Raw genomic sequence first — 20282 nt, 5'->3', positions numbered from 1 at the left:
TAAGCTTTGCCTCTATGGCCTATAAGGGGATGTGCAAGGTCACCATGGTGCCATGATGGAGCCATTCCTTGCATATTGCCCTTCTCATCTATCAGCATGGGAAGAAGTTTGCAGAAATGAAGCATCCAGAGTTTTGTGAAGCTGGTTAGGTGAAAAATTAAGGCTTTTAGACCTTACACATTATTTTTTTCAGGATAGGATAGATGTGCTGCAGGAACAGATAATCCAATTTCTGGTGGCTTTACACACAAAGGTTTGTATTTTGTTTATTGTACATATCCAGCAAGAGTTGGTAGTAGTGTTGTATTCCACACAGTCATTCAGGGACCCAGGCCCATGGCAGCAGTTTCACTATCCTATAGCCACAACATCTGCAACTCATGTCCCCCTCAGTTCACCATGATAAGAAAGGACACAGCCAGAAGATCATGTGCCAGCTCTTTTACACTTTGGCCTAAAAGGGACACAAATCACTTCTGGCCACAAGTTACTGGTCAGAACTATATCACGTGATCTGACATAACTGCAAGGGGCTGGAACATGCGAGGGAACAGAGGGAATATTTAATAAGCATTTTTGTTTCTGCCACAGACATATATTTCCCCAAAGTCAAACTATCAGTCTGGCTAAGTATTTTTACAAGTGAATATTCGCAAAAAAAGTTCCATTTGTTAATGCTTAACATTTTACAAACTGCTTTCACTGTAATTGCCCTTAGAAAAAGGTTTGGGGGAAGGGGCATACCTAAGGCTAAGACCATGAATGACAGTGTTCCTGACCTCAGAAACTACAGTTGCTCCATGTACAGTACTTAGATAGAAACCAACACACACTTTAGCCTGTACTGATTTTGGTGGGGACTCAAAGGATCATTTTGTACTTGTTCATATTGAATGGAAACCAAGTGGTGTTTGGAACACCATCCTAAATCATCAGAGGCACTGTGCTATTCTAGAAGCAGTTTGCATCTACTATTCCAACCCCAGATCTATATTGTAAGGAACTAAATCCCTTTCTTGGAGGAAATGAAATGGTGTTAGTATTGCAGGTGCAGATTTTACTCTCCACATAAGTCAAAGTAGAGATTTAATTGCCACTCTTTAGAAGTGCAAAACAAGAGAATGTAATAATTAGAACTGTCATTATATACTTTTTCTTTCTCTGATGTTGATATTAACTGGTTTTAAATAGTTTCTAACCTTTACTTTGATATAATTATTAAATTTTTAACATAAAACTCAAATTTCATTTTTTACACTTAAAATGCTTTAACAGATCCATGTTAAGTTAGCTGATGAAGATATGTGAAAGAAGTAATAAAATTATATTGTTTAATTTTTCTCAAAGACATAGAGGAAAACTGTCTCCAAATTTTATATGACCTATCAGTGATAAAAGAGACATCAATATTTTGTTGGGATATAATTAAAAACTGATAATTTGGGGGAAAACTTTTAAACAGCCTTTCCCCAATCTGTACAATTTTGACGTTATCATGTGCAGCCCTGACAGGAGTTGCCAATAAAGTTAGTTTTATTAATATCACTTGAGGGAAACCAGCAGTTTCTATTGGCACAGTCTGAGCTCCAGCAGGAAGTCATCTCTTTTTCTCAGTGCATTACTTACATGTGAAAGTTGGGGTGGGGGTGCAAAAGAAAGTATATATTGAGCCCAACATATCGCCTTATTTGTCTCCCCTCTCTATGGGCATGGCATCTGTGTTTTGAAGAGTCAATGGGGGAGAAAACAGTTGTGTTAGTGCTTGAAATAGGATGCAGTACATTCCCTCTCTTCTTGTCTTCTCTTCCTTCCGCCCCCGGTCTTTCCCCTTTTGGAAAGGGGAGTTATCGAGAGACTGAGATCTCAGAGCCAACACTGAAAACGACACCAAATTATAGCTGTGTCCAGATACCTAGGATCTTGACTGGCCTTATCATAAGAGGCAAGGACTGCGGTAAACTGCACATCAGGGAATTTGATTTCTTGGTAGGTTTAAACAGCTGAAGGTAGAAGGAAAAAAAATTAAGTTCTTCCTGTTATATTATTAACTTATGAGAACAGCGAAATCTAAAAGAAATTGTTCTGCATAGTTGAAAGTAAAGATAGAATACTCAATATATTTTCTACAATTCATCTCTGATAGAGGAGAAAGTTGTTTTGTGAGGGAAAGCCTTGGGGAATTACTTGTGTTCTAGATAAAAGTGTCATTTAAGAATTTATTATGGAAAATTTCAAACAATCAAGAGAGTGGATAGAATGAACTGACTTGTACCTTACTTATCTTCAATAATTATCAATATTTTGCCCATCTTATTTCAGTAACTCTACCACCACCCCTTTTATTTTTTGAATGAAGAATTTTAAAGCAAGTCCTAAACATCCTGTGAGGTAACTTGCTCCAAATCTCATAATGAGAAGGTGGTGAATCAGGATTGAAACCTTGGCAGTCTGGCTCCAGAACCCACAGTCCATGGAAAGAGGACAAGTCAGCTGTGAAGATCGCTTAAATGGATTTGTTCTTAAAATCAATGTAACTAACAAGCAAGCAGACATTATCTGGGGAACCTCCACTCCAAACTGTCTTTGAATCTAGGGGTTCCATTTTTAAAAAGGGTGTGTTGGGGGGAAGGGTAGGTTCAGGATTTAGTATCAGGTGCCCTTTTTACTAGAGTAGCATTTTATGGGTGTACTCATGAAACACCAGTTAATTTGCCTTGGCTGCCTCTCTCCAAAACATATTTATAGAAATTAATATCTACCCAGGCACTTCTGCCAACAGTTCAGGAATTTAAAATAGTGGGGGTCAAGCACAGGTCGTGGCTGAGAGAAGGCTGGAAGTCCATGAGTTCTACTGTGATCTGACAAAATATGAGGAGTTGACTCTTTAATTATAGCATTTTGGGAGTAACTAAAGGTTTGACACATACTGTTCTACATTGTTTAAAAATATACTGTTTTTAGAGTACATAGAACAGAACTTAAATGACTGCTAATACCTCAGTGACACTGAATCAATCATTTGAATTCAGTTACATGTCCTGAGCCAAAGCCTAGTACTCGACCTTGCATTAGGCCCTCTGTGATCTGTGGGCGTCAAAGAAAGATCCTGGGAGGGGCATGTCCTGCTTTTAAAGAGCTGGCACTCTCTCTTGGGTGAGGGGTGGCCACGGAGGAACAGGCCAGATATTCAAGAAGTGGGGTTGGTGGAGTTGCCCCCCAGCCAGATGGGGCTACCTCCCTGGTCTGTGGTGGCCACACATTGCTAGGACACACTCAAAACAATACCGTGGCCTCCAGGCAGCCACAGTGTAAAATGTTCTTAATTTCCCTGGAGAGAAGGAAGAAAGAGCTTTCAATTAACATGAACACTGGCTACTTTTTCAAGTTACCTAATTGAACTGTCAGAAAGCAAAGACTTTGTGGAGAGGGTGAGAGGCAGGATTGGTAAATTGTGATTACAAAGCTGCTGGGAAAGAAAGGGCAGTTGGGGGACAGGAGATGTGACAGCTTGGAGCTGCAGTGGGCACCCCAGATTCCCGTGGTGGAGGTCTACTGAAATGGATAGAACACTTTGGAGGACTGCCTGTCAGTCTCTGCATTTCTTGGGGAGGGGCCTGACCATGGGATCTGGAAGGCAGGCAGGAAGGAGAGATGCTAATATCTTAAGTCATCCTTATAAAACAAAGAGAATTTTCTGAGAAATGATGGTTCCTTCTTCTCCTCTGCTTTGAAGAAACATAACCTAGTGCATAGTTCCCCAAATCTTAGGGCAGTTACCTAAACTTTATGCTCATGGAAACCCAAAACACTTTTTCTCCTAGGTCAGACCCATTTCCTGGCCTGCTTCACAGTGAAGTGTGGCCATAGACTCAGTTTTATCCAGTAATATGTGAACAGAAGGATATATATCTCTTCTAAGCCTGGCCCATCAAACTGCCCACACTGTCTGCTATTCTTTTTTTTTCCTCTCTCTCTCTCTCTCTCTCTTCCCTGGCCAGACCTATTCAAAGTGATCTTGAGATCTCTGTTGAAGATGGCAGAGACTTTGTCATCCTTAATCTCTGAATGAACACATGGATAACTACCACAAACTAGAAACACCCAAGTAGCGTTATTGGCATTTTCATGAGTAAGAAATTCTGTATGTAAGCTACTGAGATTTGGGATGGGGATACATCTGTTATAGCAATTAGAACTATTTACTACAATCTTTCCCCATTCTTATCTGTATATGACTTATACTGTCATTCATTATTATTATTATTATTATTGAGATGGAGTTTCCTTCTTGTGGCCCAGGCTAGAGTGCAATGGCGCAATCCTGGCTCACTGCAACCTCCGTTTCCCGGGTTCAAGTGATTCTCCTGCCTCAGCCTCCTGAGTAGTTGGGATTACAGATGCTCACCACCACGCCTGGCTAATTTATGTATTTTTAGTAGAGATGGGGTTTCACCGTGTAGGCCAGGCTTGTCTCAAACTCCTGGCCTCAAGAGATCCACCCACCTCAGCTTCCCAAAGTGCTGGGATTACAGGTGTGAGCCACCGCGACTGGCCTACTATTATTATTTGGAGACAGAGTCTCACTCTGTCACCCAGGCTGCAGTGCAGTGGCATGATCATAGCTCACTGCAGCCTTGATGTCCTCAGCTCAGGTGATCCTCTTGCCTCAGCCTCCTGAAGTATCTAGGATTACAGGCATATGCCATCATGCCTGGCTAGTTTTTTTTGTTTTGTTTTATTTGTTGTTGTTTGTTTGTTTGTTTTGAGACAGAGTCTCACTCTGTTACCCAGGCTGGAGTGCAGTGGCGCCATCTCGGCTCACTGCAACCTCCACCTCCCTGGTTCAAGCAATTCTCCTGCCTCAGCCTCCTGAGTAGCTGGGATTACAGGTGCTTGCCACCACACCCAGCTAATTTTTTTTTGTATTTTTAGTAGAGACAGGGTTTCACCATGTTGGCCAGACTGGTCTTGAACTCCTGACCTCAGGCAATCCGCCTGCCTCAGCCTTCCAAAGTGTTGGGATTACAGGCTTGAGCCACTGCGCCCAGCCGGCCAGTTTTATATTTTTTATTTTTTGTAGAGATGAGCTCTTGCTGTGTTGCTCAGGCTGGTCTGGAAGTCTTGGTCTCAAGCAATCTTCCCACATTGATCTCCTAAAGTGCTAGGATTACAGGTGTGAGCCACTGCACCTGGCCTATTATTTTTCTTTAAATCAAGTTATTTTTTATGAATTTTGATTTTAAAAAGTAAACTTTATGTCATTATCACAAATAAAAAACAATATCACTACAAATAGAAGGTAACTCTAAAAATACATTGAGTGGAAAAAAAATGTTATTCATTTCTAGCTAGATGCTATTTCCTGGAGAAAGTTCTTTGCATGAGACCTGTTGTCTCTGTGTTGAAAAGGGGAAACTAGCCACTATTAGAAAGGTGTCAAAGACATATTACCACAAAACTGAGATGCATTGCTTGGCAGAATCAGAAGAGTTGAAAAAAATTGAAAATAATTTCCCCATAGTTATGTGATTCCATGCTATTTAATGTTCTGTCTCAGTCACCTTAAGTCATCTGGTTTACCAGTGGTGCACATCCTACCCTTGGGAGTGAAGACTTACTAAATGGAGACCAGGTTTGGCTGGAGGCTTGAGGATGAGCTGAAATGCATAATAGAAGATACATTGTGAATCTTGTAGGCGTGGAGTAAAATGAGACTTCTGCAGGCACAGGAAGACTAGCCAACCTATAGTTCATCATTTCAAGTTTGATTCTTGATATATAGATAAAAGATTTTTTTGTTAATCAGGATATTTGTGGTTTCCTCCTCTAGTGTGTTGGAATAAGCTTTGAACACACTAACCTTTCCACAGATAACAATAAACTTGGGACAAAATGCAAAAAAGCAACTACTTGAAGGTTTTTGAAAGTGAAAAAAGTAGGCAAACAGGTTTTGTAAAGCAGTGGGCACCTGGAAAAAAGGACTTTAGTGGGGTGAGTTGTCTGTTTTTGCAGAATGACACAGGGCAGCCGAAGTTGTGATTAAAAACTCCTCACTTTCTTGTCTGAGTGGCAAGAAGAAAGAGTCTAGGGAGCCTGTGGCCATTGGCGAGTGAGAGGGGAAAACCAGAAAGGAGAGAGTCAGACAAGGAGAGCCCAAGATTGTGAGTATAAACTCTGCCCAAGTCTCTGGCTGATTCTTTTTTTTTTTTTTTTTTTTGAGATGGAGTCTTGCTCTGTTGCCCAGGCTGGAGTGCAGTGGCATGATCTTGGCTCACTGCAAGCTCCGCTTCCCGGGTTCACATCATTCTCCTGCCTCAGCCTCCCGAGTAGCTGGGACTACAGGCTCCCGCCACCACGCCCAGCTAATTTTTTGTGTTTTTAGTAGAGACAGGGTTTCACCATGTTAGCCAGGATGGTCTTGAGCTCCTGACCTCATGTTCCGCCCGCCTGGGCCTCCCAAAGTGCTGGGATTACAGGCGTGAGTCTGGCTGATTCTTGAGCCATACATGTGTTGGACAAAATCAAAGCAGCACAGTTAATGGTAACAGAGCTGGACTGAGATTTGATCTGTTGCCTCCTGCACACAAGACAGGGTTTGCAGTTTAACAAAACTAATTGCTTGTTAAAATAAACATTAACACTGTTCAAAGGAAAATAATAGAATCCAGAGTCTCCACAACAATATTCATAATGTTTAGGATACAATCCAAAGTTACTTTAGCTACAAAGAACCTGGAAAATGTGACCCATTCTCAAGGGAAAATGGATAGAAGCCAACCTTGAGATGATCCAGATATTGAAATTATTAGAAAATGATTCTAAAGCAACTCTTATAATTGAGATAAAGGAAAATATTCTTGTACACATAAGTGAAAATATAGGGAATTTCAGCAGGAAAATATAAAATATAAAAAGGGACAAAAGGGAAATCTTAGATCTAAAAATAATATCTGAAATTTAAAAAATCCTCTGTATGGGTTTGATTAATAGCACAGTAGAAGTAATGAGGAAAGATTCAGTAAACCTGAAGATAAATGAGTAGAAAGGATCCTTGATGAATAACGGAGATAAAGGATTTTAAAAAGTGAACAGGATCCTAGACCTGTGGGACAGAATGAAAGCCTAGTATGTGTTTAAGGTTTCAGAAGGAAAGGAGAAAGAGTGGAACAGAAAAAATATTGATGAGATAATGACCAAATTTTTCCAAATTGAATGAGAAACACAAATTTACAAATGCAGAAAGCTCAGTGAAACCCAGATAAGATAAATACAAAAATGTCACACCAAAGCATATCATAGTCAAATTGCTAAAAATTAAAGAGAAAATCTTGAAAGCAGTCAGAGGAGAATGGCACACAACATAGAAGGTAACTGATTTAAATGATCATGGACACGCATCTGGAGCTATGAAGGCCAGCAGAGAGTTTAACAGTATCTTTAAAGTTCTAGAAGGTTTGGGGGAATGCAATCCTGTCGAACAAGAAATCTGTATCCAATGAAAATGTCCTTTGAGAATAGAGGCAAAAATATTTTTAAATAAAAAGAAATATAAGAAAACTCACTATCAGCAGATCTGCACTACAAGAAATGCTAAAGAAAATTTTTAAGCTGTAGGGAAATAATATGAGAGGGAAGCCTGGCTATTTCAAGGAGTAATGTAGAACATCAGAAATGGCAGATATCTGTGTAAATAAAAAATATTTTGTTGCCTCTCAATTTATTTACAATGCATATGATTAATAGCAAAAACTATAACATTATCTTATGGGATTTATTATGTACATAGCTGTAATGCATATGACAGCCATAGCATAAAGTACAGTACTATGGCGGTGGGAGGATGTGTTAATGGAATATATGGTTAAGGTTTGCACGTTTTCTGTGAAGTGGTGCAGTATGAACTCTAAGTAGATTGTGAAAAGTTAAGGATATATATCCTCTAAAACAACACTAAAAAAATAATGCTAAAAGCCATAGCTAAAAAGACAATGGGTAAGTTGAAATGGAATTCTAAAAAAAAATAGGTGGAGTGTTTATGGTATGGGTAAACTAACATACTAAGATCGTTGATCATTTTGGTGCTATGGGCTTGTCATGGAATTCATCATATCTGATTTATGCTTCCTTCCTTCCTACTTATCTGGCTGTTTTCATTGAACTGACTCGTTCCATAAAGTCTGTTATAATTTGCCACACTTGTTTTCTTATCTCCATAAATATGTGAGCTTCATGCTTATAGTGCTGTACATTCAGTCATTATGGTGATGAGGATTTGGAAGTTTCAGATGGAGAGAAAAATACTTAATACCTATCTTCTGCAGAGATTGTCTTTTCTTAAAGATAAGATTCTGGCAAATTACAAAGATGACTGTGGGAGGCTTAAAAGTAGCCCATGATATGTTAGTAGCAGGTACATGGAATCTAATGTTCAGCATATTTGATTTTTCTTAATAAAATTCATTTTGACATATAATAATAATTGCCATTTCTCACATATCTATTGTGTGCCAGGCACTCTACTGAGACCTTAACATGTGATATGTCATTTAATACTCAAAATAGAGTCAATGAGAAAAAATTATTTCCCTATTTGCAGATGGTAAGTAATTTGTCTTAGATCAAATAACCCTCTCTGTAGTTAATGATGGTGGTAGGATTCAAATCTGGGTTGGCTTGGATTTGAACCTCTTCCCATATGTCACACTTCTTCCTGTTAGATGTTTACCAAATTTAAATGTTGACATCTGCTTTGTCATCATCATTCAACCATAGGTATTTTTGAGCACCTGGGAATAATAAGTTGCAGGAAGATGCATGATCGACTGTTGATGGTTAGAGTAGTACGTGCCTTCTCAAGAGCCCAAAGTGCTACAAGCTGTTTTTCCCATCCTCTTCTACTTCTATCCTAAAAACATTACCTACCCTACTAAAATCTAGTACCATTCATCAAAATTATTCGTTTTTTCCACTGTGCAGAGGAATAAACTGAGGCCCAAATGAATCGTATTAGAAGAGCTAGGTGGGAAACCATAGCCTAGGCTCAGACCTAAACCGAGGCCTTTCTTTACACTTTTTTTTTTTTTTTTTTTTTGAGACGGAGTCTGGCCCTGTCACCCAGGCAGGAGTGCAGTGGCGCCATGTCGGCTCACTGCAACCTCTGCCTCCTGGGTTCAAGTGATTCTCCTGCCTCAGCCTCCCGAGTAGCTGGAATTACAGGACTGTGCCACCATTCCTGGCTAATTTTCATATTTTTAGTAGAGACGGGGTTTTGCCATGTTGGCCAGGCTGGTCTCAAACTCCTGGCCTCAAGTGATCTGCCTGCCTCAGCCTCCCAAAGTGCTGGGATTAGGCATGAGCCACCTAGCTCAACCAGCCTTCTCTTACACTTTAAATTTGAATCCCTATTCTAAAAATTTAGTGGTTTAAGACATGTTTTCTGAAGTGTTCCAGAACTGAACTGCTCCTGGCAAAGTCAGGATAGTGAGAGGATAGGAATAGAATCTATATGAGCCAGTCACATTTTTTCCTGTCTCATCTCTGGAATGTCATGGCAGGATATCAGATCAGTAGTGACATTTACAGGAGACTGAACATTTTTAACTGGAAAGATGAAGAGTTTTTAAGACCTTATTAAAACCAAACTCCAATTTAACTTAGAACCATAGCCTTTTAAAGGTATGATAGAATCTTAGAGAACATAATTCTCATATTCTCTTTTTACAGGTTCTTTCAAAGGCCAAGAGAGGTTGAATATCTACTTTAGAGGCAGGACACACAATTAGTCTTTGCAGAACCAGGTGTTCTAACTTCCAATTTGGGACATTCACCATTTTTTCATTCTTACCCCCACTTCATCTACTTCTTGAGCTAATGAGCTATTTGTGAAGCTTCCCTTATGCCTCTTGAACTGCTTCTGCTGCTCTCGGAAGTGTGCTTAGAATGAGAACATATACATTATAATTTAAATTATTGGATCAGTTGAACAATTCGTCCCTGCAGGTCAAATTCTTCAATTGTGATCAATCCCTATGAGTCAAATTCAAATTTAATTTTTTAAATGTTTTTTTTCAAAAAGATTTCATTTCATTCTACTTCTCCAAATAGATAAATGTTTATTTCAAGAAACACTGCCAAATATTGTTAGTGCTTCAAATCTGCCAGCCATTGACTTTTTTTTTTTTTTTTGAGATGGAGTCTTGCTCTGTCATCCACGCTGGAGTGCAGTGGTGCAATCTCAGCTCACTGCAACCTCCACCTCCCACGTTCAAGTAATTCTCCTGCCTCAGCCTCTCAAGTAGCTGGGACTACAGGCACACACCACCACACCAGGCTAATTTTTTGTATTTTTAGTAGAGACGGGGTTTTACCATGTTAGCCAGGATGGTCTTGATCTCCTGACCTTGTGATCTGCCCTCCCCAGCCTCCCAAAATGCTGGGATTACAGGCGTGAGCCACCGCACTCGGCCAGCCATTGACTTCTTGAAGCAGCATAATTTGTTGTCCGTGGCTCCTGAATGTTCCTCATGCCACCAGCCCTTATGGTGGATAGTACAACACCAATGTATTCCTTGGAAATCTGGGATCATCTGGAAAGTTCGTTTCTGTGGGTCAGACTTTTAATTGATTGTTCAACTGATCATTCCACCCAAATATTTTCTTTTTTTTTTTTTTTAAATTATACTTTAAGTTTTAGGGTACATGTGCACATTGTGCAGGTTAGTTACATATGTATACATGTGCCATGCTGGTGCGCTGCACCCACTAACTCGTCATCTAGCATTAGGTATATCTCCCAATGCTATCCCTCCCCCCTCCCCCCTCCCCACCACAGTCCCCAGAGTGTGATATTCCCCTTCCTGTGTCCATGTGATCTCATTGTTCAATTCCCACCTATGAGTGAGAATATGTGGTGTTTGGTTTTTTGTTCTTGCAATAGTTTACTGAGAATGATGGTTTCCAATTTCATCCATGTCCCTACAAAGGACATGAACTCATCATTTTTTATGGCTGCATAGTATTCCATGGCGTATATGTGCCACATTTTCTTGATCCAGACTATCATTGTTGGACATTTGGGTTGGTTCCAAGTCTTTGCTATTGTGAATAATGCCGCAATAAACATACGTGTGCATGTGTCTTTATAGCAGCATCCTGTTTTGAAATGACTAGCCTGGTTCTACCATTCACTTCAAGCATCATTTGAACAATTTGGCCCTTTATATATCAAATAAATGTAAAGGAAGGAGTTCACTGACTTTGATGATCTTAAATAGTTTTGTCAGTACTGTAAATACTGATCTCGAATAAAATACTAAATGAAATTCAAGACCTTAGTTGACCTGCTATTGCACTAGATTTGTTTGGAATCAAAACTTATAGTCTTTTAAAGCCATATCACTGTAAAATAGAGTAAAATCTCCAGTAAAGTTCTAGATTATTCATAACACATAGTGGAAATTGTTAGGAGACTTCCATGCCATTACTCCAAGTTAAAGCCAACATTCTAAGTTAAAGCCAAGTATCCTGTTGGAATCCTGTTGGATTCAGGTTGTGCACAGCTGGGGTGACCTTCTTAAATGTTCTTATTCTAGAGTTTGCATTAAAAGCAAAGGAAAAGCTGCAAAAATAGTTGATTAGATACATCTGAGTCCACATTTTAGATATATTGAATTTGAAAAGAATCAATGATAAAAATAGGACTTGACAACATAACTAATAGTTGAAAATTTTCTTAACAATGAAAATGAGAATTTTTGTTCAATTTTGAGGGTTTTTTTTGTTGTTTCTGTTTTTGTTTTGTTTTGAGTTTTTCAGTTGGCCTATGGGAAGAAATATTTGCAGCAGCATATAATACCCAGAATAATCTTGAACTTGCCCTGAGGACTGTAGGGAAAACCCCTACTTGCCTTAGCATGTTCTTGGAAACAATACCACAAAGTGATTTATGTTTTTCTATGAGAACAACATTGTGAAAGCAGCATCTTTTCTGACCAAAGACTTGGCATCATATAAACCATCTTACCAACAGTACGCCATAAAAACAGATATGAATACAAAAAGTAAAATTCTAGCATCATAAACCTAAGTTAAAGAAGGTTTAAATTGCTGTAGCAATTGATCATTACAAGAGGACTCCCTGACTATAACAGCACACAGAGCTCTTCAAACTACAACATTGTGTCATAAATGAGATTGTGTAAATAGAAGTACCTTGCATAACCCTGGCTGGTAACTGGTATCAGGTAATGTTGATTGAGAACAAATATTAAATATCTGTTTGCTCTCCAAGGTGACATTTCTGCCTCTAAAGTTTTATGTTTCAATTTACAATGTCTACTTCTTGTTTGTTTGTTTTCTTGAGACAGAGTCTTGCTCTGTTGCCCAAGCTGGAGTGCAGGGGCATAATCTCAGTTCACTGCAACCTCTGCATCCTGGGTTCAAGTGATTCTTGTGCCTCAGCTTCCCCAGTAGCTGAGATTACAGGTGTGCATCAACACACCCAGCTAATTTTTGTATTTTTAGTAGAGATGGCGTTTCACCATGTTGCCCAGGCTGTACAATATATACTCTTATATTCTTAGACTATGAAAAATGACTTAAATTGTGGAGAAGTATGGGAAGACCTTCTTCTTCCAGAGATACCTGAATAGATCCTTCCCTATTGAATTTCCATGTAACGAGTCAGGGCATTCATGAATTGTCCTATTTTCAGTTAGTTTTCTAAGTACTATAGTAGGGACTCCTCAGATATCTGTTACAGTGGTGGATGAAGAAGGAGGAGAAGGAGAAGTTTTTAAAGTATAATAGCTAACCTAATCTTTTGTCTCTTCCACCATCTTTAGTTAATTCAGATGTTCTCCTTCAATGGCTCATCATCAGACATATACCCCTCTCCCCTCTCTCCCCAGCAAAGGCTAACCAGGAAATATGGAATAGTATTTATTTTGCCATAGGGTGTACTAGACATCTCCCAAGAATGCTAAGATAGGATAAGGCTGTATCCTCCTGATCCTTCAGGATGAGCAGGCCAAACCATCAAATGATCAAATTCCAGAATAGCCAATTTGCCCCGAAGTGATTTTGGTAAAGAATCCATTTGGAATAGTATTTCTCAACTCTCCGACTACATCAGAATCACCAAGGCCTGGGGCCTGCCCCAGACACTGATCCAGTTGTTCTGTGGCGAGATGGCAGTTAAAAAAACACACAAGAACTTTCAAGTGATTGTAATATACAGCCAGAGTTGAGAACAATTGGGCCAGAGCTTTCTTATCTGCCAAATAATGGAAGGCAGAATGGAGGAATAGGGGTTAATTTTATTAACATCTAATAAATTGATTTAAAATGAAAATGGGTGCCTCTTAATAATAATAATACTGATTTGGTGTTTATCATCTTACAGGCACTGTACACACATGAACACATTTAAACTGTGCCACAGCCTTCACTGTATAGGTGAGAAAACAGTCCTGAGTGTCAATTAACTTAGTCATAACAATATAGCTGCTGGCATTAGGATCCAGCTCTACTTCGGAAAAGCTCATCAGTTTCCACTCTACCACACCACCTCTACACTTTTACTTTCTCATCTACGTTTTTCTTTGAGGAGATGCAGTTAAAGTCAGGCAAGCTAACATATATTACCACTGATAACAAATTCAGCAGCCTAAGTATTGCTGAGGAATTTAAGTGGCTGATGTGTTTGTTCCAGTCTTGGGTAGAAATGATACATTATCAACAATTTATTTATTTATTAACAATTTATAAAGAAAACAGTTTTATCAAAAAATTATCAGCTTGAATTTTATGAATGAAGACAGATGATTCCTGTCCATGGAAAATAAATAGTCTGTATCCTTTAAATAATTTAAGGCACATTTCTTGCTAATATTCTGGGTCCACCTATGTCTTGCATTGAAAAAGTATTTACCTAATATCTTAAAGCAGGGCTATGATAACTTAGTTCTCAAGGAAAGAAGGTTTTAAAAATAATTTTCTCTGCTCTCCATTTCTCTTACTGTAAGCATGTGGCAAAGTCTTGGCATCTGCTCAGAATAAATTTTCTGCTTCCTTTCTGTCTTTTAGTCAGCGCACGCTTTCTCTGAGTTCTCCCCCTTACTCCTTCCCTGCTTTAGTAATCTACAGGAAACCAGACCTTACTAATTTGAGTGCTTGCTCTTAGAATTACTTATTACTGTATTAATACATATTTGCTAGAGTTTGTGGAGGATTTGTATTGCTCTAGGTGCTAATAAAAATGTGTAAAAGACAGGCCCCTTAAATAATGTGCAATTTTGAGGGAAACAACAAAGGCAAAAGGATTTCTTTGGGACTGGCTATTTGCAATAAATTGCTCATTTGATTTTATTTTTTATTTTTTTTTTAGCATGCAGGAGGTTTATTAAGAAATGCAATGACGGCAGGATTGGCCAGAGAGAGAAGTCAAGACATGATGCATTCTCAATGGAATGCCTCAGCTGACCATGTGGGGAGTTCTAAAGACGGACTGATGATTCAGAGTGCCCCATGTTGATTTATCAGTAATTTGTTTTGAGCTGCCCTGGAAAGCGGGTGTGAAGTTGGTTGAGAAGGCCCCAGATTTCTCATTTTAAAATGCTGCATGTGAGAGGACATTTTTCACAAAGAACTACTAAATTAAAAAATTGGGGAATAGAACCCTACTATGAACGGAGTGTGTTTCTTCTATTCAGGCACATATTTTTGCCTAATATCCAGATGCTGTTTCCAAAGCTATTTTTTCATGAAATTGTGTTGCTCTAGAATGCTCAATGGTTCTCAAATTTTAGTGTGCATCAGAATCTTAACAATGAGGGGCTAAGACACAAATTCCTGCCCTCCTCCCTGCCGCCCCCCTCCAGAGTTTCAGATTCATAGGTCTCGGTTGGGTCTGAGAATTTGCATTCCCAAGCAAGTTAACAGGTGATGCTGATGTTTCTCAGGGGATAACGGGCAAATGGTGAAACCCAGAAAGTTTTGTTTCTAGATATGAGATCCCATTGTCTTTGCCAATGAAGCTGTGCTGTAACTCCATCTTAACAAGTAACCCCAAATTATACCCACCTGAAAGACCTTTGTGGGTTGTGGAAAACCTGGAAGATGGCTGAGAGACAGTACCCTCGAAGTAGTTCTGAGGAGATTGTTCTGCTTGTATTCCCATGCAGCGCCATCACTGCCTGACTTCCTTATGTGTGTCTGATTTGAGGCAGTTCTCTAGGAACCAGTTCCTGGTGCTGCAGTGCCACTGGCAGCTTCCCAGGGCTTCCAGAACCCTAGTGGCATGGTGGGAACTCCTGTTCCTCACCCGACCTCTCCACAGCCCTGGACCTGTAAGGTTTCTTCCAGGCTACATGGAATTAGATTTCCACTTTTCCTTGGTTCACAGGGGGCAGGAGCCAGGTTGGAACGGCTGCCAAGGAGACTGTCTTTTTTCAGAGCCCTTAACTGGCAGTCAGCAAGACCGAACTCCTCTGCTCCTTGGTGAATGGTGATGCTGATTATTTGGAAGCTTTAGCACCAAAGTTTGAAATTCCCCTAAGTGAATGGTTTTGGCGATCCCCTTCCTTTAGTTATACTATTGGCTTTCTCTCATGTTCATTTAGGTTGCCAAATCTTCTGTATAATCCTCATCCCCCATCAAAAGAGAAAAAAGAAAAAAGAAAAAGAGTAGTTCTATTTTTGTGGAAAAAGAGGAAAGAATCCAGGAAACATTTCAGAGAACTGTATGTTTTCTTAGTTCCTTCTCTCCAGACACGAAATCCAAGGAGTATTTGGTCAGTTGCTAACATTACATGAGGGGCTTTTTTTTTTTTTTAAAGTAGGTATAAAATTTAACTTCTCTGCCCACCTCCTGACAAGAAACTGTGGAAAATATCCAGTTTACACAATTTGAATAAAATTATTCCTTGATAAAGGTCACGTTTTCTTATTCATAAGAATCTTCACAGGAAGATAGCATGGAAAGGGACTAATAGGTGCCCAGGTTCCACTCTGATTGTGCAGAGAATATAAGGCGGGCCCAGGCTGTAAGGAGCCCTCCTACATCATTCTGCTGGTAGAATTAACAGCAGCAATTGCCCAGGTCTGTTGTAAGATTAGGATTCTGCCCACCCTCTGGAGCTGCCACCATTCTGCCTTCTCTTTCTTAGAGTTTTGTATTCTAAGTTTTTACTTTGAATCTTGAGAATAGAAAATAGTTTTCAGTCTCTTGAGATTTTACATAGTTTGTCCATGAGCTTCAGAAATGAGTTCAGTGTAACTGCTTAGATACCTCGATTTATCTTTTTCAGTTTCATTTGTTATTTTTAAAATGCTTTAAGATACGATTAAGAGGCCGGGCGTGGTGGCTCATGCCTGTAATCCCAGCACTTTGGGAGGCCGAGGCAGGTGGATCACCTAAGGCCAGGAGTTCGGGACCAGCCTGGCCAACATGGCGAAACCCCGTCTTTACTAAAAATACAAAAAAATTAGCTGGGCGTGGTGTCAGGCACCCATAATTGCAGCTACTCAGGAGGCTGAGGCAGGAGAAGTGCTTGAACCCAGGAGTTGGAGGTTGCAGTGAGCTGAGATCGCGCCATTGTACTCCAGCCTGGGCAACAAGAGCGAAACTCCATCTCAAAAAAAAAAAAAAAAACAAAAAACCATTAAGAGAATCTGCAGATAGTTCCTTTGGCAGAAATGTTGGTTAAAAAAAATCTTCTGGCTGTGCACCAAGTCAGTGACCTATAAATACTCTGTGCTGGCTCTTCTTTCTCCTCTTTGTGATTCGCTGGGATACAGATCTTGGACTAATGCCTTGAAGAAAATGTTATTTTGATGATAAGCAAATATTTCAATTGATTCTAGAATTGAAGACACTGATTGTGGACTGGATGATTTCTTCTAGCCCAAAATTCATTCTCTAGATTAACCTCAAGTCTGCTGTAAGTGGGGGAGAGGATGCCAGTTCACATTATCACAGTTACCATTATTATTATTATTTTTTGGCCAAAATCAACCTTCATTTCTTAGTGTACATTTCTATAGTTACTAATTCAGTCAGGCTCAACTGGGTTCTCTGCTTCAATGCTCATAAGGCTAACTCAAGGCATCAGCCAGACTGGGCTTTTTTTCTGGAAGCTCAAGTAAAAAATCCACTTCCAAAGCTCATTCAAATGGTTGGGAAAATTTATTGTCTTGTCATCACAGTTTAAAGATTGTACTCTACAAGGGTAGCAAACACTATCCTCGTTGACCTTCAGGGTTGGGACTGTGTGACTTGTTTATATATGTGTATATTTGTGTGAGAGAGAGCAAAATAATGTATACTTGGTACGGTTTAGTGTTAACTGTTGGGATATCAGAAATATAAATAATACTTAAAGTGTACTGCCCATTCCTTGTGGAAGAAGCACCTGTAAGCACTGTATGTACAGTGTATTCCTTTATTTAATCCTCACAAAAGTCCTATGTGGTAGATTCTATTACTATCCCCATTTGTAGATTAAGAAACTGAGACTTAAATAAGATAAATAGCTTGCTCATGATTTCACAGCTGATAAATAGCAGCACCAGAATTGAACTAACCTCTGTCTTGAAAACAAAGTTCTTATATACTGTGCTACCCTGAGGAAACTTCTAGTTGAAAAATTGTGGTCTCATATGGTCAAAGCTTGTTGACTGTGTAATGCCATTTCTCTTCCTCACCAACTTTAAGGTTTTTTATATGAGAAAGGGCATGGGAGGCTGTCACCGACCTTTCTTCTCTTCTATTACAATGCTTTACCTTCAGACTGCCATTTTTTTTTTTGAGGCCAAAGAGAAATAGAAAGTAACTTCTATCCAAGCAAAACCTGGGGACCCTAGATCTAGTCCATCTCAATTGAACCAGAATGTTTCCTACTAATAGATAAAATCTATTTTTGTTTAATACTATGCCATTCCATAAAGACATGATTATTCCTTAGCTTCTCCAAAGGGATACTTACTGAAAGTGTAGCTGAGACTGTTTATTCAGTAGGTTCCTAAGCACCATCTGCTTTACTGAGTGTTCTAGATTTTGTCTAGGTTATTCCTGTAGAGCCATGGTCAGCATTATAGTAACATAACAGCATATATAGTAACATATAGTAATAGAGAAATATCTATTTTTACTTTATCAGTAATAAAGTATTAGCTCTGATTTATGGTAACAGGATAGTCTTAAAGCTTATAGATCTGATATTAAGAACATTTTATATAATGTTATATATCAACATTGTCTTTTAAAGTGATGGATGCTTTTATTTCATCTTTTGGTTTATCTCTGAAAGATCATTCTTTTGGATACAGTTTTTTTTTTTTTTAATTTAGAGACAGTTTAGACTTCATAGTGTCATGATAATTTTCAAGTTGGTATCAACAGGAATAACAAAAGGAACCAAGATTTGAAACATCTGTAAATAACAATAACTTTTATTGACCAACAATATAGTATGTGCCAGGCACAGTGCTAAGCATGTTAGCACATTTCCTTACATCACACTATGAGCTGTAAATATTGTCTCCACTTCACAGATTTTAAAAACTGAGGTTCACAGAGGTTAAGTGCCTGATCCAAAGACACATAACTTGTAAGTGGTGGACCCAGGAAGCCAGAGCCTGGTACAGGGTATTCTGTTGCCTCTTAGAACCCAAGATTTTTCTCACCCAGTTCAAAAATTCTCATCTACAGTGGTCAGCAGCTGTGAGAACTGTTGAGTCTCAGTCAAGACTCACATGATTATCTGGTTCCTAGGCAAGGGTTAAGGCCATGCCAAGAGATGTGAAGCAGAAGGATGTGGCAGATTGACTGGTGTGATATGGGGTGTGGTGCCCATCCATTCATGAGTGCCACATAGCCGGGAGGGAACGTGCGAGACATAGATTCTAATTCAAAAGGGAACAGATTCCAGATGGGAAAGTACTTGGCTAATTGTATTCAAGTTAGCTCACACTTATAGAACTGTAGAACTGTAACATTTCCTGAGGGCAGGAGTGGATGGATCTTTTTCTTTATGGTGCATGAACTATTAGTAGGTATGTACTGATACCTGGGGGAGTAAGATAGATTCTGAAGGAGTCTAGAACCAGACTACATGTGTTTGAATCCCAGTTTTACCTCCTATTAGCTTTGTAGGTTTGGGCAATTTAAATAATCTCTCTGTAATTCAGTTCATCTCATCTGCAAAATGGAGATGATCATAATACCCCCATGTAGGGTTGCTGTATTAAGTAAATGATAGGTGTGAAATGCTTAGAACAAAGGCATTTGTCATCATCATCATCATCGTCATTGCTATTGTCAAAAAATGTTAAGTGCACTTAATAGTTGCCTTGGATAGAGCAGCTCAAAGCCCTGACCAAATTATGAACCATTTTGAGAGTCATTAAATTAGCAGTATTGGAAATGGATGCCAATAGCCAGAGTTGGCAAGGGGGTGGCTATGTGGCACAATCATGTATTTGCAGTGGGAGGGCAAATCGGTATAATTCTTGGAAGATCAGTTAGGAGAGCTGTTATCAAATATCCTAAAAAAGTATAAGTCCTTTGACCTAGGAGTTCTGTGTCTAAAAACAATTTGACCAAAAGCCTAAACTGTCTACAAGGATGTTAAATGAAGATATTAAAAATATATAGAATTTTATGTTTATGGACATGGAAATATTTGAAAACAAAGTAAATAGAAAAAAGCAAACTATAAACACTTTATAGGAGGATCTCATTAAAAATATGTCTTGGTAGATATCTTCAGATGACTTTTGTTTTAGTTTATTTTAAAGCTAGAAGTAATAGATTAACATCCCACTTTCAAAATTTGTTTACCTTTAGGTTTTTTTTTTCTTTTTGCTAGTTAGACATGATTTTGTCCAATAATGTCTGCATATAAACTCTTCATCCAAATACCAAGAATTAGGAAATCCTGCTAGAAGACTTGTTCTCCCCTAAAAAGAAGAATTGTGTAATGCTTCCTCATCAGCCTGCCTGAGGTATGCAACAGGCTCCAATCAATAATAGTGCTCAGTACTGTACAATTTCTCACTAACTTGGGGCAGTATCATTTAAAAATATCCCCCTCCACCCTGAAATTCTGATACAATTCTATACCCTCTAACATCTCATATCCACTGAGAATCCCAGATATGGAATAAAAGTTTTTGTCACAAGCATAAGTTCTTTTGACAGTCAAGTGGTTTCTGTGCAGAAAGACCTACTGTGAACTAGCTAATGCTAAGAGGTATGATTGTTTGATATTAATTCTTAATAC

General features: G+C 39.0%; 1 protein-coding gene across 8 annotated transcripts in view, besides 1 other annotated feature; it reads left to right on the top strand.

Moving 5' to 3' along the window:
• Window positions 1–20282, top strand: part of TNIK (TRAF2 and NCK interacting kinase) — a 401995-nt gene that overhangs the window by 161416 nt on the left and 220297 nt on the right. The window lies entirely within an intron of this gene.
• Window positions 13588–13647: an enhancer, noted in NCBI's record as "active region_20813". NCBI's record gives its function as "activates an Ori minimal core promoter by ATAC-STARR-seq in GM12878 lymphoblastoid cells {active_cell/tissue: GM12878}" and the evidence as "EXISTENCE:reporter gene assay evidence [ECO:0000049][PMID:35858748]".

Source organism: Homo sapiens, chromosome 3, assembly GCF_000001405.40.
Source record: "Homo sapiens chromosome 3, GRCh38.p14 Primary Assembly".
NCBI classification, from domain to species: domain Eukaryota; kingdom Metazoa; phylum Chordata; class Mammalia; order Primates; family Hominidae; genus Homo; species Homo sapiens.
This window is presented reverse-complemented; position numbering and strand designations above follow the sequence as displayed.